Below are 15,072 nucleotides of genomic sequence, written 5' to 3'. Positions count from 1 at the left end.
AAACTATGAAATGCCCGTATCATGATATTTACAAATCACTCAGACCACACCCACTCAAGGTTTTAGGAAATCTTATTAATGTGAACACAATTTAAGAGTCCTGAGTCCTGAGCATGAGAAAACAAGTCTACTGGTCCACAACTCTGAAAAAGTGAAAAGCCTTTAAATGTATCCAGGGATGGCAGGCAATATTCCTAACCAACACATACTTTTGGTTAGTTAGTTACTAACTAACCAGTTATGTGATATGAGATGGATGGGAGCTGGCAGTGATTCTCATTATTATTTGGAAAAGAGATCTCTACTCAATTCCCACATTTCCCCCTCTTTCCAATGACAGAACTGGGTCCATATAGTATTGAACTAAAGGGTACTAAATGGATACTTACATGTGGCCAGAAAGCTTCCTTCTTACAGCCCGGAGTATAAGTATGTCCTCAGAATGATCCAGCTCAGTAGGTAAATTCTCCTGGAATTACTGTGCCATAGAAGGCAGTAACTATAGTTTATTCCCTGGACAAGCCCCAAATGGTCTACCCTCCAGTGCTGTAATTGTTTATATATCAACAATGTTAAGGGTGTCATTTTGGCAGATACCATTATTACCCATACACCCTGCTTGGCTTAAAGTATTTTTTTCCCCACTAATCTCCTCATCAACATATATAGGACACTCCTAAAAATGATAAGCCAATAAAACTGCTTTACATTCTTTTTCTAAGATGGTTGAATATAAATAATAAAGAACAGAAAACAATCACAGGTTATTCTGATATGTTGCAATAATCACATTGCACTTTTTTATAGGCCTATAATATCTGCATAACAACTTTTTATAGAGAAAATATTTTACGTTTGCTATCTTGCTTTATTTAGCCTCACAAAATCCCTGTGAAACTGGGGGAGGAATAGCTGCAGTATCTACAGCAGTTCTCAAGATGGGTCCTACAGAATTATTGAGATTGTTATCATAGGCAGATCAGTAAGGTTCCTCATTTTAACAAGAAGTCCTCCTCCTTGAAACAGTAGGAAACCAAAGAGTTTTATAGGGAGTAAAATTTCTATGTTCTTCAAGCTGAGTCACATTTGACTGAACTTTTCAGGTTTCTGTGAAAGCCAAGTCAGAATTAAAACTTTTTATTTATGCTTCGGTTATATTTGGCAGGTGAATAAGGAGATACAGGCCTGTGCTAGGAAATTCTCTATCTCAGACCTTAGCACCTTCATTAGAACCTCCCATGACACCTTTTAAAAAATTAATTGGTTAACTAATTTTATTTTTAATTGACCAAAAATAATTGTATATATTTATGGGGTACAATGTGATATTTTGATATATGTATGTTGCAGAAAGATTAAATCAAGCCAATTAACATACCCATCACCTCACCTACTTATTTTTTTGTGATGAGAATGTTGGGAATGTTTAAATATACTCTTTGAGTAATTTTGAAGTATACTTTAATTTGTTTCTTTTTCTTCTATTTCAGGTCTTAGAGTAGGTGTGGGAGGGTTGGCTAACGCTTCCATTTATGGTCTTGACACTTCCCTCCATTGTTCGAGACTAAAGTTTCAACAGTTTTAATTCCTTAAAAATAACTTAGTCTTATTTTTACCTTCAGTTTTTATCTTTGCACTGATCTTTCCTTTGAGTTATACATCCATTAAGTCTGTTATGCCAAAACACCAGCACAAAGAGAAATCTCATTACCTTGCTTTTTCCATTTGCACTTCATCTCTTCCGGTGATCTACCCCAGCCTGCTATGAGATTTACCTTCCTAATATACCACTCTACCATTCAGCTCTGCTGCTCAAAAGGTTCCCAGGCCTCCTCATTACATGAAGTTCATGCTCTTTAGGCTGGCTCAAGGCCCTTCAAGACCTTATCAGGTTAGTCCACACTTCTCTCATATTACACCCTGTGCTTTTGCCAGACTAAATTACCCACTCCTTTGCTTTATTGTAGCTTCATGATTTTAATCCACATTCTTTCTACCTGGGATGCCAGTCATTACCTGCTTGAATGCTAAAATGTGTCCATGCTGCATATCTCAGTTTAAATGCTACCTCTTCCAAGATATCTTCCCCAGTTACCATAAACCCAAACCAATCCTCGGAAATCCCTTATCACTTTATTTGAATCTCTCTACCACATGCCATGTTGTTTAAGTCAAGGGCTATGCCTTACACATTTTGTGAAAAACAAATTGCTTTCATATTGCAAGCTATCAACAGATGTTTCCTAAATAAGTTATATAGACAACAAATAGTTTAAGTGGCTATTAATTTTTTACTGAAAATCCAAGTTTCAACAATTTCAAATCCTTAAACATAATTCAGTAACTGTATTATGCATTATTACTAAAAGGTATCATAGCCACATTATATAGTTTTTCACTTTATGGTATATACATATTAACTCAGAAAATTATGAAACAAAGTTTTCTGATCTGTATTCCTGAAAGTCTAACTTTCCGCTCACCCACATCTACCCTCCCACATGGTTAAGAACTGAGACACTTTTTCTCCCCAGACCATCTCTTTTCTTACAAAGGCATCCATAAATAAGACATGCAGATGGAATCTGTTTCTCCCAATATCTTCTAACACCACCTCTTCCACCCACGCTGCTACACGTCCTCCCCTCTGAAGACCAGTGTCAGATGTCCTGATGGCTCAAAGCCGCAGGAATTCTGGAATGAAAATTTGAGTTAGCTGAGGTGCCATTGTTTGGGGGAGTACTCATGGGGGCAAATCTAAGTCTAGCAGGGAGCTGAAGGACAGATGGCAATGGTCTGTGTCCTCATGGACAAAGCTGTATTCTAGTAGAACCTATCCAACAGCTCTACAGCTGTAACTTGAGGAGGTCAGAGGTTCCCTGGAATACTGGCTTCTCTACTCAAGGTCTGTGGAACTATAATTCTAGTGGTTCCAGCCAATGACAAAAATCCTGACTCTACTACCCAATGAATCTGTGACCCAATGGGTTAAAAAAAAAAAGGAAATACAAATTAAATTTAAAATAATCTACACATCTATCATCCTGTAACCTCACCCCAAACCTCCACTATTACCATTATCTTCTGGACATCCCATTTGTATTATTTTTCCACCAGCCTTACTTCCCTTATTTCTTGAACTCAGAGACAGACTAATCCATTACAATTGGAAGTAACTGAGAAGAAGTCTGTACAGATATTTCTAGGCCTCTGAAGCTGCAGGTAAAAGGCTCTACTCTCATTGAGACTGCCTTTTGAATGAGGTGCCGGGATTGTGGGTGGTAGATGGAGTGGGAATAGCTTTAAGCACCCAAGGTCAGGCCCTCCTCTCCAAGCCGTCAGTTTAGTATTTTCTTAAATGACCAGTTTTCAAAGTATCAACTGACCCAAAATACATGTTGCTTCCACAAAACTCTACTTAAACTCTTACCTTGAGGAGGCAAGATTGATAAAACCAAGAGCACATAGTTCTCTCCTTCACACTTACCACAGTTTTAGCAAATTAGTTTGTATGTATTCATCACCTATATATGGGTTCTTTAGTATATAGGTATTGTGAGGGCAGAGACTATGTCTGTGTGCGCCTTTTCCACATTCCACTGTCTGGCACATAAATGGAACTCAGTAAGTCCTTATTGAATGAATGAAGGAATAGGTAGGTGGTTTGAAACATAGCTGAGGGACAGGGTTGGTGAGGGAGACACATTTGCTGCTCTTTTATAAATACATATGCATTTGACTGTGCCTACACACATGTATACACATATATGTACATCTTTCACTTCTGTAGCTCTACAGAAGTTGCCTGTGTGCTTCTGCTCTAGGGCTCTGTGCTTCCTAGGCATGACATTTTTTTCTGGGATGCATTCCTTCTACCATTCTCCCTCTCTCCAGCCATCATCCACTCTACCCTTCCTCCAGATAATCTGGCATCTTCCTCTTCCCTGGCATGTACATATGGGCCAGGAACTCCACCAATAAGGGGAGAGTCCATGAGAGGGCAAGGCAATTGACAGTTGTACTGAGGATTGGTCATGTTTACCTTCACACATGCCGGAAAACATTAAAGCCGAGCCAAGGTCTGTTTAGGTCTGCATGCCCACGGAATGTGGTTTCCAAGACATCCTCATTACTGACACCTGCTCTCCAGGCCTCAGTTGCCTGCTCAACATCCCCACAAAGATATCCCCCTGCCATAGCAAATACATGTTTCAGATTAAACTCATTTCATGTTCCTTCTGTAAAATACATTAATCTCCTTATTGGTGTAACTCTCATTCCGGAATTCCAGGCTGAAATCCACAATTGCTCTTTTCAAACCATCTTTTCTCCTTAATCCTTATATTCTATGTAGCCAATTCCTATTTATCCTTCCTTTGAAATGTCCATGAGATTTGCCCTTTTCCATCCAGGTACTCTATCACCATCCCAGTCTAAGCTTTCATTGTTATAGTGTTCCCTTAGTCCTCTTTTGACTCTAATATTAATATTTATATTCAAATCCATTTAACAAAACAGTTTAGTCTTTCTAGAGCTCATTAAAAAAATTTTAAAGGTTATGCTTCCATTTTGTAGCACATGAAGATGCAAAAATCCATGAGTGTCTTCCTGATATCTGGTCCCACCCTACATGCTTGTCAAACCTTACGTCCTAAGATTCTTCAAGACCCACCATCACCCATCAGGCCCCCTGCCTCACAGTTCTCCATGCTAGAAAATCCTCCTTCCTGTCCTGCCCATTCAAATCCTTCATGAGGCCTTTCTCAGCTAATCTGACCTTCCTCAGCCAAAAAAAGAGATGTATTAAGCTCCCACTTTGTGCCAGATCCAATGATCAGCACTGGACTTAAGACAGGATCTGAGACAGACATGATCACTGCCCTCATGCCTCCTGTAATCTACTACAGGATTTTCTCCCTTCTCTTATCTGCCAGTAGCGTTCTGTCCCTTAATGTTTAATTACCTGCTGATACATTACTGACTTATTTATAGTTCAATTAAGGAGTATTTATTTACTGTGTAATTTGGATAGGGACTTGTGCTAGGCAAGTTGAAAGATGCAAACTCTGGAAGTTAGGAATTATGTCGCCATCATATACCCAGTGTCACACAATGCCTGAAGATGAGTAGGTATTCCATAACCTTTTTGAATGAATCCCATAACAAAATATTATGAATACTGAGCAATCAGAACTTAGAGAAATTAAAGAGTCAACTTCTCTAAGAAGAAAGTCTGCAGAAGGCTTTGCTTTGGTGGATGAGTGGGATGTGCACAGACTGAGAAGTGGGTGGAGGCTATTGCAAGCAAGTGTAACACTGAACAAGGAAATAAGGCAGACTACTAATGCCCCCAACACCCCCACCATCTGATGTCCTCTGTTTCCATAGTAATGCAGTATAAACAGCCTAGCTAGCCCTTGAACCAGGTGTATCCATGTGACTGTGTTCTCAGCAATAAAACATGGGCAGAAATTATGTGTACAATTTTCACATCGTCTGTTGTAATAGCCAGATTAGGATAGGTTATATTTCAGAATAAACAACAAAAGTTTTTTTTCTTACTTACAGAAATTTGTTGCAAGCCCAGATGACTCTCTTGGGCAGCCATCTTCCATGTGTTGACTCAGGATTCCTGCAGGTTTCTATCTTGTATCACCTCCACATCAACATAGGTTTTTGTGGCTGGAGAGTGAAGCACTAGCAATTAAAACTTCAGCAAGGCAGTGACTCATGCCACATTGTCCCAAAATTAGCCATGTGACCATGCCTAACTACAAAGAATGTATAAGTGTAATCCTCTGTGTGGCCATAAATAGAAAATAACTGGATATTGGTAAATATTGTTATGTCAATCACACTTATATAAAATGAAATTACATATCATAGGCTTAATCTCTACTTTCTGAAGGCTGAAAGAACACATGTAACATCAACCAGTCTTTGGTCATAACAATAAAAACACTCAAGAGGACAGTAAAAGCACAAGATGAAAAGAACCTAACCCCAAATCATTTTGTGGAACAGAGCCACTACTGCAGCCTATAACTCTTTCCTCTGGACTGTTGTGTGTGAGGGAAATACACTTCTCTCAGGTTCAAGCCCCTGTGTCTCCAGGTCTCTTTCTTTCAGTAGCTTAGCCTATACCCCATCTAAGAGAAGAAAAATCAAGAGAGACAACTATCTTGACTGGAGATATTTTTTGTGTAAGGGAGTAGTGTTAAGGCATACAATACACAAACAGAATGTCAAGACACATCTGTGGCCAGTCACAGTGACTCATGCCTGTAATCCCAGTGCTTTGGGAGGCCAAGACAGGCAAATCATTTGAGCTCAGGAGTTTGAGACCCTGGGCAACATGGTGAAACCCCATCTTTACCAAGAATACAAAACATAGCCAGGTGTGGTGGCCTGCATCTGTATTCCCAGCTACTTAGGAGGCTGAAGTGGGGGTGGGGGTGGTGCCGGACAGAAGTTGCAGTGAGCAGAGATTGCACCCCTGCACTCCAGCTTGGGTGACAGAGTGAGATGCTGTCTCAAAAAAAAAAAAATATACACACACACACACACACACACACACACACACACACACACATCTGTTTGTCTCCAACCAATGATAAGCTTCAAGATAGTAGGAGCTAAAACAGAAATAATCTTTTTCTGATCTCTTCAAGATCTAGCACATTTCTACATCTAGAGGGGGGTTCTTTGCAGATAGTTGTTGGCTGACTAATGCTAAGAAAAAACAAAAATATGAGAAATCAAAACTATATCCAGCTATACCCAAAACACAAGAATCTTTGAAATAACACACAGCCTCCAAACTAAGAGGACATATACCACCTTGACACAGAAAAAAGTTTACAATGTCAGTCTCCTAATGGAAAATGTTAAAACATCCATTGATTCATTGCTCCTCCAAATGCATGACTTAAAATAGCTTTACCCTTTTCAACACTGCTACCTCAGTCTAAAGAACATGACTACATGGAAGATGTTTTTATTTGTTTGCTCTGAAAGTTTATTTTATTTATATATTTTTATTATAGTTCTTTTTCTTTTTGGCTAAGAGGTAATAGTGGTTAACATTTTTGATAAAGAGATGTGTTTCTTTTACTTTTTCATTGCAAGTACTTTTCTCTTCCTCTTGTTTCTAGAATGACCATGGAAGGTATTTGTTTTAACAAGAAAGGTCATAATCATACCCAATAATTTTTATATTCTACTTGAACATAGGCATAGACATAGACAAGGCCCACCTGTTGGCCCATTAGCAATATTATAGTCATTCAGTTATAGCAATAACAGACCAGAATACAATTCTTTACTTAGCCAATTACTAACTGAAATATGCATCAACCAGAAGAGGATTAATATTGTGATTACATGTCCAGATAAATGTCCAGCTCTAAAGAGGCTACATAAGACAATTCAAAATAAAACAAAATTGTCTTTTGAGAAAATTATTAACAAAATAATTATGAAAAAGTAAAAATAAACATGTTGATGTTAAAATATGTATTAACAACCTAATTTATGATGAGGTATTTATCTCATTAATCTAATCATTACTCAATTTTTTTCATTTACTTCATTTATTTCACTAGCCTGAAAACATGTTCATGTGAAATCATTATAAATATGTCTTGGAATGTATTTATAATGATTGGGAAAATTATGGATTGGAGGATGGTCTTGCCCCTGTGTGCTGGGTCAGTGGGGGTGTTGACTGTAGTGGTGACAGTTTAGGGCATGGCTAAGAAGGTAGTTGTCAGGGAACTGGCTGAGCTATGAGGATCACACATTGGAAATCAGAGCTGGAGCTTGGGAAGATGAATTCTAATCCCTTACTCTGACAGTGATGAATTTTGGGCTTTGGTGTCGGGATGTAAGCGGAATAAATTCACCCAGTTATGAATGAACTAAGACAGAGGAAGTAGAAAATTATTTCCTTTTAAACTGATAAAAGCTAGGTTTGAGAACACAGCTTATGTATGCAGGCCCTGAAAATACTGAACCTAGAATTTCAAAGTCTGTCTCATCACCCCAGAGAGATGCAGAATCAGACACCTGCACACCATGCCTTGGAGAAGAGCCTAACCCTAAAGCAAGGAGGAGCAGTGCAGAATGTCTGTGTCCTGTGATACATCCCGAAGAGAAAGTGGGGCTGAGAGGTGGAACCCACATCCCAAGTTTCTCTCCCAGACCCATTACACATCTAATTCACTCCACCTCCAAGAGGTGAGTAGAAGTAGAATAAGAGGCCTGGAGTGTTTATGAAAAATCCCTCATCAGGGAACCTCAGGGAGTGGAGAAGAAGCAATCCCTCCCAAGATAAGTCACTTCAGCTTTATAAGGCTCAGATTTTCCCATTTGTAAACTAATATCTCCAATGTACCATTTAGTCCTAATATTTATTATTTGTCAAAAGGCTCTCTGGGTCAGATCAGTGTCCAGGACTGATGAAGAGGGGATGTTGCTACCTGGGGGTCACTTAACACTCAATGGGAATTGGGGAAGGTGTGTGAGCCCAGTGGCCATCTATGCCATCCTCATAATTTTATTCTATCATATTTCAACAAATATTTAATGAGTATCTTCTATGTACCAGGGAAAAGAGTGGTAAACAAAACACATCAGATCCCCACTTTTCTTTTTAGAACTTGCACTCCAGAGAGGAAAAACATTTGACAAGCAAGCACACCTATGTGCAATTACCAATTGCAATGAGAGCTTTAGAGCAAGATAAACTGTCTGTGGAGGGGGAGGGTAGTTACATGGGGGAAAAGGGAACAGCCTTCCAGGCAGAGGGGCAGCATGTGCAAAGGCCCTGAGGCGGAAATGAACGTGGAATAATTGAGGCTTCAAAAGAAGACTGGCTAGGGTTTAGTAAAGGAGGGCAAGAGTAATATGAGCTGACTATAGAGGGGCCAGGACATTATAGCCTGTGCTGAGGAGTTTGATTTTTTTTTTAATTTTTTTACTCTGGTAAGAACACATAATATGAGATCTATCCTCTGGACATATTTTTTAGTGTACAATACATTATTGTTGATTATAGGTGAAATGTGATATAGCAGATCTCTAGAACTCATTCATCTTTCTTACTGAAACTTTATTTGATTATTAACTCTTTATATTCCCCTCTCCCAGCCCCAGGCAACCACCATTTCACTCTTTGATACTATGAATGTGACTATTTTAGATACCTCGTGTAAGTGGTCTCATGCAATGTTTGTCCTTCAGTAACTGGTTTATTTCACTTAATGTAATGTCCTCAAGGTTCATGCATTTTTTCACATATTGCAGAATTTCCTTTTTAAGGCTGAGATCCTGATTTCAATTCTTTTGGATAAATACAATTTATTTGGATAAGAAATAGGATTGTTGGATCATGTAATACTTTTATTTTTAATTTTTGGATTTTTTTCTAAGTGAAAGTCCAGTGAAGAGTTTTAAGCTAGGGAAATACGTGATCAAATTTATGGTGCTAAAAAATTACTCAGCTATATGGATAATGAGTTTGGGGCATGGAGGATTAAATACCTCCATGAGGTAATGTAAGCCATGTAAGCAAAGGAAGGAGGGGAAGAGTCCTTTGGCCTCTGGAATGTGGCCCCAGAACTTCTGATGCCTAAGTGGGTCATTAGAAACAAGTTGGTTAAATAACTGATGATTGAGTGGGATGGCATTAACCTGCCATTTTATTTATTAATATTAGTATTTCTGCTTAGTTCAGGGGAATAGAAGAAGCGAATTTTTGCCCAACAATCCCCTAAATACAACTATTCCAAATGGATATTTGTACTTGTTTCATCAAAATTACATTCTTTATGTTCCAACCTCTTCCAGCCCTCAAAAGAATACGTTTGAAGTCTAGATTCTCAAGTCAAATTTTGCCAGGCAGCTTTACTCTAGTTCATTCCCTTCAGAATCTAGAATGCCTTGATAGGCTATAAGTGACCTAATTTGTGTTCACTATGATGGTAAGCACATGAAGTCTCTTGGTGAGTTTTTATCCCAGGCAGGGGCTGTTACATAATGATGATGACAATATCCATGTCCTCCCCACCATAAAAGTGTTTCATAGGCCTTGGTATCTGAGGCCCCTAAAATATGTTCTCTTCCTGTCTTTTTATACAAGTCTGCTTAGATTAGAAGGAATCTGAGAGCTGTGGTTATTGGGCAAATTAGACCAAATTGGCAGTCAGAAGTGTTGATGTGCTTGGACAGTTAAAGTCTTCTAAAAAAATCAAAGTCCTTTTGTGTTGGTAAAAGAAGGCAGAAGGAAGTGGCTGGAGAGATGATTTTCATCCTGATTATATATTTCGCATATTCATTACTTCTGTAAGCATCAGCTGGAAATAACACTCCCTTTTACCTCCCCAAGTTACTACCAAGTCATTAATGGCAAAAAGTGCTTGTAAAATAGAAAAAACAAAGAAGCAAACAGAAATGAGGACTTGTGCTGACTGCTCAAGTAGCTCTCCTGCAAGGAAAGCCGCAGTGCTAGGGCAGAGCACTCCTGAATGACTGGAAATCACATGGAGGCAGGCTCTAGAAGGCTGCAGGTAGGAGAGTTACCCCCAGCTATTCACAGTCCACTCACAAGTAACCTGTTGCTGCAGTCACTCAAGTTGTTCAGCCAGTAAAGCCATCCCTCAGTAACCATCGGGGATTTGTTCCAAGACCCCTACAGATGCCAAAATCCTGGGATGCTCAAGATCCTGATATAAAATGATGTAGTATTTGCATATAACCTACGTACATCCTCCTGTAGACTTTAAATCATCTCTAGATTACTTATAATAACTAATACAATGTAAATGCTATGTAAATAGTTGTTATACTGTATCAGTTTAGGAATAATGACAAGAAAAAAGTCTGTACATGTTCAGTACAAGTGTAACCATCCATTTAAAAAAATATTCAATCTACATTTGGTGGAAGTCACAGATGTAGAACCCACGGATATAGAGAATTGATTGTATTTATCAAGTGCCTCCTGTGGCCCAGGTCTTATCAGTCAGTACTTTTTCTAGATGTATGAATAATTATTTGGTGTACAGGAATTGCTCCCACACTGCTGTGATCCAACAATATCAAAGTGTGCAGAGGAAAGAGGTATGGCAAAGGACAGGAAAGGTGGGTTCTAGGTAATTAGGCTCTAATCTGAAGAAAGAAAAACCACCACAGCAAAATGATTTAGTCTAGTTTATAGAGCCTAGAAGGAAGCTGAAGACTTTCATGATGTAGAGAAATTTTAGACAATAGAAAAGCCAGACTGCTCCTTTTATTTCTGGTAGCATGAAACACTCTGAAGTGTGTCGGACCTGAGAAACACTCTGAAGTGTGTCGGACCTTTAGAAGCTCGTTTCACTTCACTGAGATTCACAACACCTGCTGCCAAAGCTGTAGCCTAAACTTGCAAGATGAAAAATGTCCTCTGTCAGGCGCAAACACATATTACTGGTTTGCATCATATGTCATTTGTGACTTGAGTAATCATGAATGTGAAATGAAAAAACAAACTGTGGTGTTGTAGACTACGAATTCTGCTTACCCTCCTTCTGAGATACACTATAAAAGAAGACAGATAGAAATGGATCTATCATAGGGTGTCAGAGCAAAGGCATTTGTCAAAAGAACTGGAAGACGTGTGTATTATAAGTTGTTCCTGTACATTGTACCCCAGATATGCTGATTATTTTGCATTATTAGCTTCACTCAGCCAAGGGAAGATCAGCTCTTTAGTGTTAAATTGTTATGTTTGCAGTTTCAAAGAGGAAAGGAAAGGATGAGCATGCATTCTTATTACCTATGAGAATGAAGTGCCTTCCTAGTCTTATCTTTTCTGGTCATTATATCACAATTCTCTATTCTGCCAGTGTAATACCCTAAGATTTCAACGTTTATTTCATATAAGGCAAATCTTAAAATGAATATAGAGTTGAATGTATAATAATTTCAAATACTGATAGCTAATTATTCTCTAGAGTACCTCTGTGAGTAAGGTCAAAAATCTTTATGCAGTGGAATAAAAAAGAGACAAGAGGGTTAAACTCAAGTGAAATACTATCCCTTTTTAGCTATGACAATTGATGGAATAGATTTTGTGTTGTCCATACAATGTGGATTATTTGGATGTAAATATAGTAATTTGGTCACTAATGCAGATAACCTTTGGGGTTTAATAATGAAGTTGGTGTCTGTTTTCTTTGTGCTGCCATGTCACTTCTCCCCACTTGAAACATGAAGACTTCTTTGAAGCTCGTATTAGACCACCTTTCTTACAGCTGGCATCTACCAACCTCCTGGCCCCTTCCTCTTATCCACGGAAGATTTCATTATGTGAATCTGTCATGTTCTCCACTCCTATATCTGCCATTTTTATTGGTGACTTCAATATGCTCATGAAAAACTCCTCCAAAACCCTAGCCTCAGTTCTTTGGCCGCCTCCACTCCATTTTCAGTGTCCTTTTCCCCTATCATACAGCAGCTACCCACTCCCATGGTTGTACCCGTGACCTTTTAAATCACTGATAATTGTACTGCTCCCTCAATTTTCTGTATCTAATTCTTCAGACTTCCTGCCCATCTTTCTCTCTCATTCCTACTCCAGCTATGCTTTGATCTTAACAAGTTCTCCAAATCACTGATCTTTATTCTTGCTTATTATTTGTGATCTCTCATTTTTTCCTCTTTATTCACCTGATATTTCATACTACATCATTATAGCAACATTCAAAAATACATTTAACTCTCTTGCTCTTCTTTTCCACCATTTTATTTTCCATAAAAAACCTCTAACTCTGGTTATCTTTTATTCCATACAGGCAGCTGAACAGGCCTGGAGAAAAGCATGAATTTCTCCTGACTGATTTCAATTTAAACTCAGGACCACAGATCTTTACTGGGTATTCCATACTGATTTGTTATCCTTATACTTTAATCAGAGCTCACTTCCCACTCTCCAAAGTAAGATTGTGTCACAATTTTCATATCTCCTCAGTCTTCCAACCTCCATCCTATGATGCAAATCACCCTCTGTGCACCCACTTTCTCATGTTTTCCATTACCAGAGGTGATGCATCCCTGCTTCTCCCAAAACCAGGCCCTGCATGCATGCTCTCGAACACATGCCTCTCCTAATTCAGGACTCACATTCTGAAAAATCCTTTTGTTTATCAATTTATCCCTCTGTACTGATTTATTCCAACTAGCATAAGCAGGTTTCTTTGATTTTATCCTCCAGCTTCTACTGTATTTCTCCGTTCCCTTTTGGAGAAAAACCTTTCAAAAAGTGTTGACTATGTTGCTACAACCATTTTCTCTCCCTTACATTCTTTCCTTGGACCACTCTCTATTCTTCTGAAACTGTGCAATATTAGATCAGTAACAACCTACATTCCGTCAAATTTAATGGTCACTTGATCGTCCTTATCTCACTAAATTTCTCATAGGCATTTCACACTGTTCACCACTCCTTTTTATGGAACAGTTTCCTCTGCTAATTTTCCTCCTTCCTTGCTGGCTATGTCTCCTTTCCCGGCTCACCCTCCTCTGCTCAATCTCCAGTTTGTCTCTGGAATATATCTTTCACATATTAGGTCCTCAGCTGGGAGTGTCCTGTCCCTCTGACCTTCCCAGGACAACCTCCTCCATGTCATTCAATACCTGCCTTAAATATCATCCACTCAGAAGGGCATTTTCTGACCACTCAATCTTAGTGTCCCAGAAACACTAGTTCATATCACCTTGTTTTATCTTTATCATAGCTCTTAACATGTTTCTACTTACTGTATCTGTTCACTGTCTGTCTTGCCTCATTAAAATATAAATCCCATAAAAGTAGGAACTTGTCTGTCTTGTTCTAGGTTGTAAGTAATTTGAAGTGTTTCTTGTGTGAATGAGAACACAATGACAAGCATTATTTGTTCACTAACGACTGTATCTTTATTGCATTTCCATATTTGTCAGAATATTTAATGCCATATGGATAAAAATTTCTCCACCTTTCTACAAAATGGGAGGTTTTTTTTTTTGTTTTTTGTTTTTTGTTTTTTGTTTTTGAGATGGTGTCTAGCTCTGTTGCCCAGGCTGGAGTGCAATGGTGCAATCTTGACTCACTGCAACCTCCACCTCCTGAGTTCAAACAATTCTCTTGCCTCAGCCTCCCAAGTAGCTGAGATTACAGGCGCATACCACCATGCCCAGCTAATTTTTGTATTTTTAGTAGAGACAGGGTTTCACCATATTGCCAGGCTGGTTTCGAACTGACCTCAGGTGATCTACCACCTCAGCCTTCCAAAGTGATGGGATTACAGGTGTCAGCCACCGTGCCCACCCAAAATGGAATTTTTAAAAAGGATTTTGTACTCAAAGAGGATCTAAAATTTAACAAAGTTTTAGAAACCATTACATTTACTTTGATCTGTTATTTCAAATACTAACCTAGAAACTGTAGTACTTATCTATCCTTTGTGGGTCCAAAACTACCCTTAAAAGAAAGAAAGCCTCTTTCAAAGGCAGTGGCAATAGTTAATTTTAAAAAGGGGGAGTTTCAGGCCCAGCACGGTGGCTCACGCCTGTAATCCCAACACTTTGGGAGGCCGAGGTGGGTGGATCATGAGGTCAGGATATCGAGACCATCCTGGCCAAAACGGTGAAGCCCTATCTCTCCTAAAAATACAAAAATTAGCTGGGCATGGTGGCATGCACCTGTAGTCCAAGCTACTTGGGAGGCTGAGGCAGGAGAATTGCTTGAACGTGGGAGGTGGAGGTTGCAGTGAGTTGAGATTGCACCACTGCACTCCAGCCTGGCGACAGAGACAGACTCCGTCTCAAAAAAAAAAGGGGGGGGAGTTTCTAATTACATTGTTGATAAATATGCAGCAAGAATAATTGTGTCTACTTCAGATTTACACTAAGACGTTAAGATTTAAACTTAAATATGTTGACTTATTTAAATGCAATTCTAGATTACTTCCTTACAGCACTGTTTAGTGCAAAAAGAATTATATTCTCCACTAACTTATGCTAGTACTTCCTTTTATTTATAACTTTGATGAATCT

Source organism: Homo sapiens, chromosome 14 (assembly GCF_000001405.40).
Source record: "Homo sapiens chromosome 14, GRCh38.p14 Primary Assembly".
Classification (NCBI taxonomy): domain Eukaryota; kingdom Metazoa; phylum Chordata; class Mammalia; order Primates; family Hominidae; genus Homo; species Homo sapiens.
Note: the sequence above shows the minus strand (reverse complement) of the source record.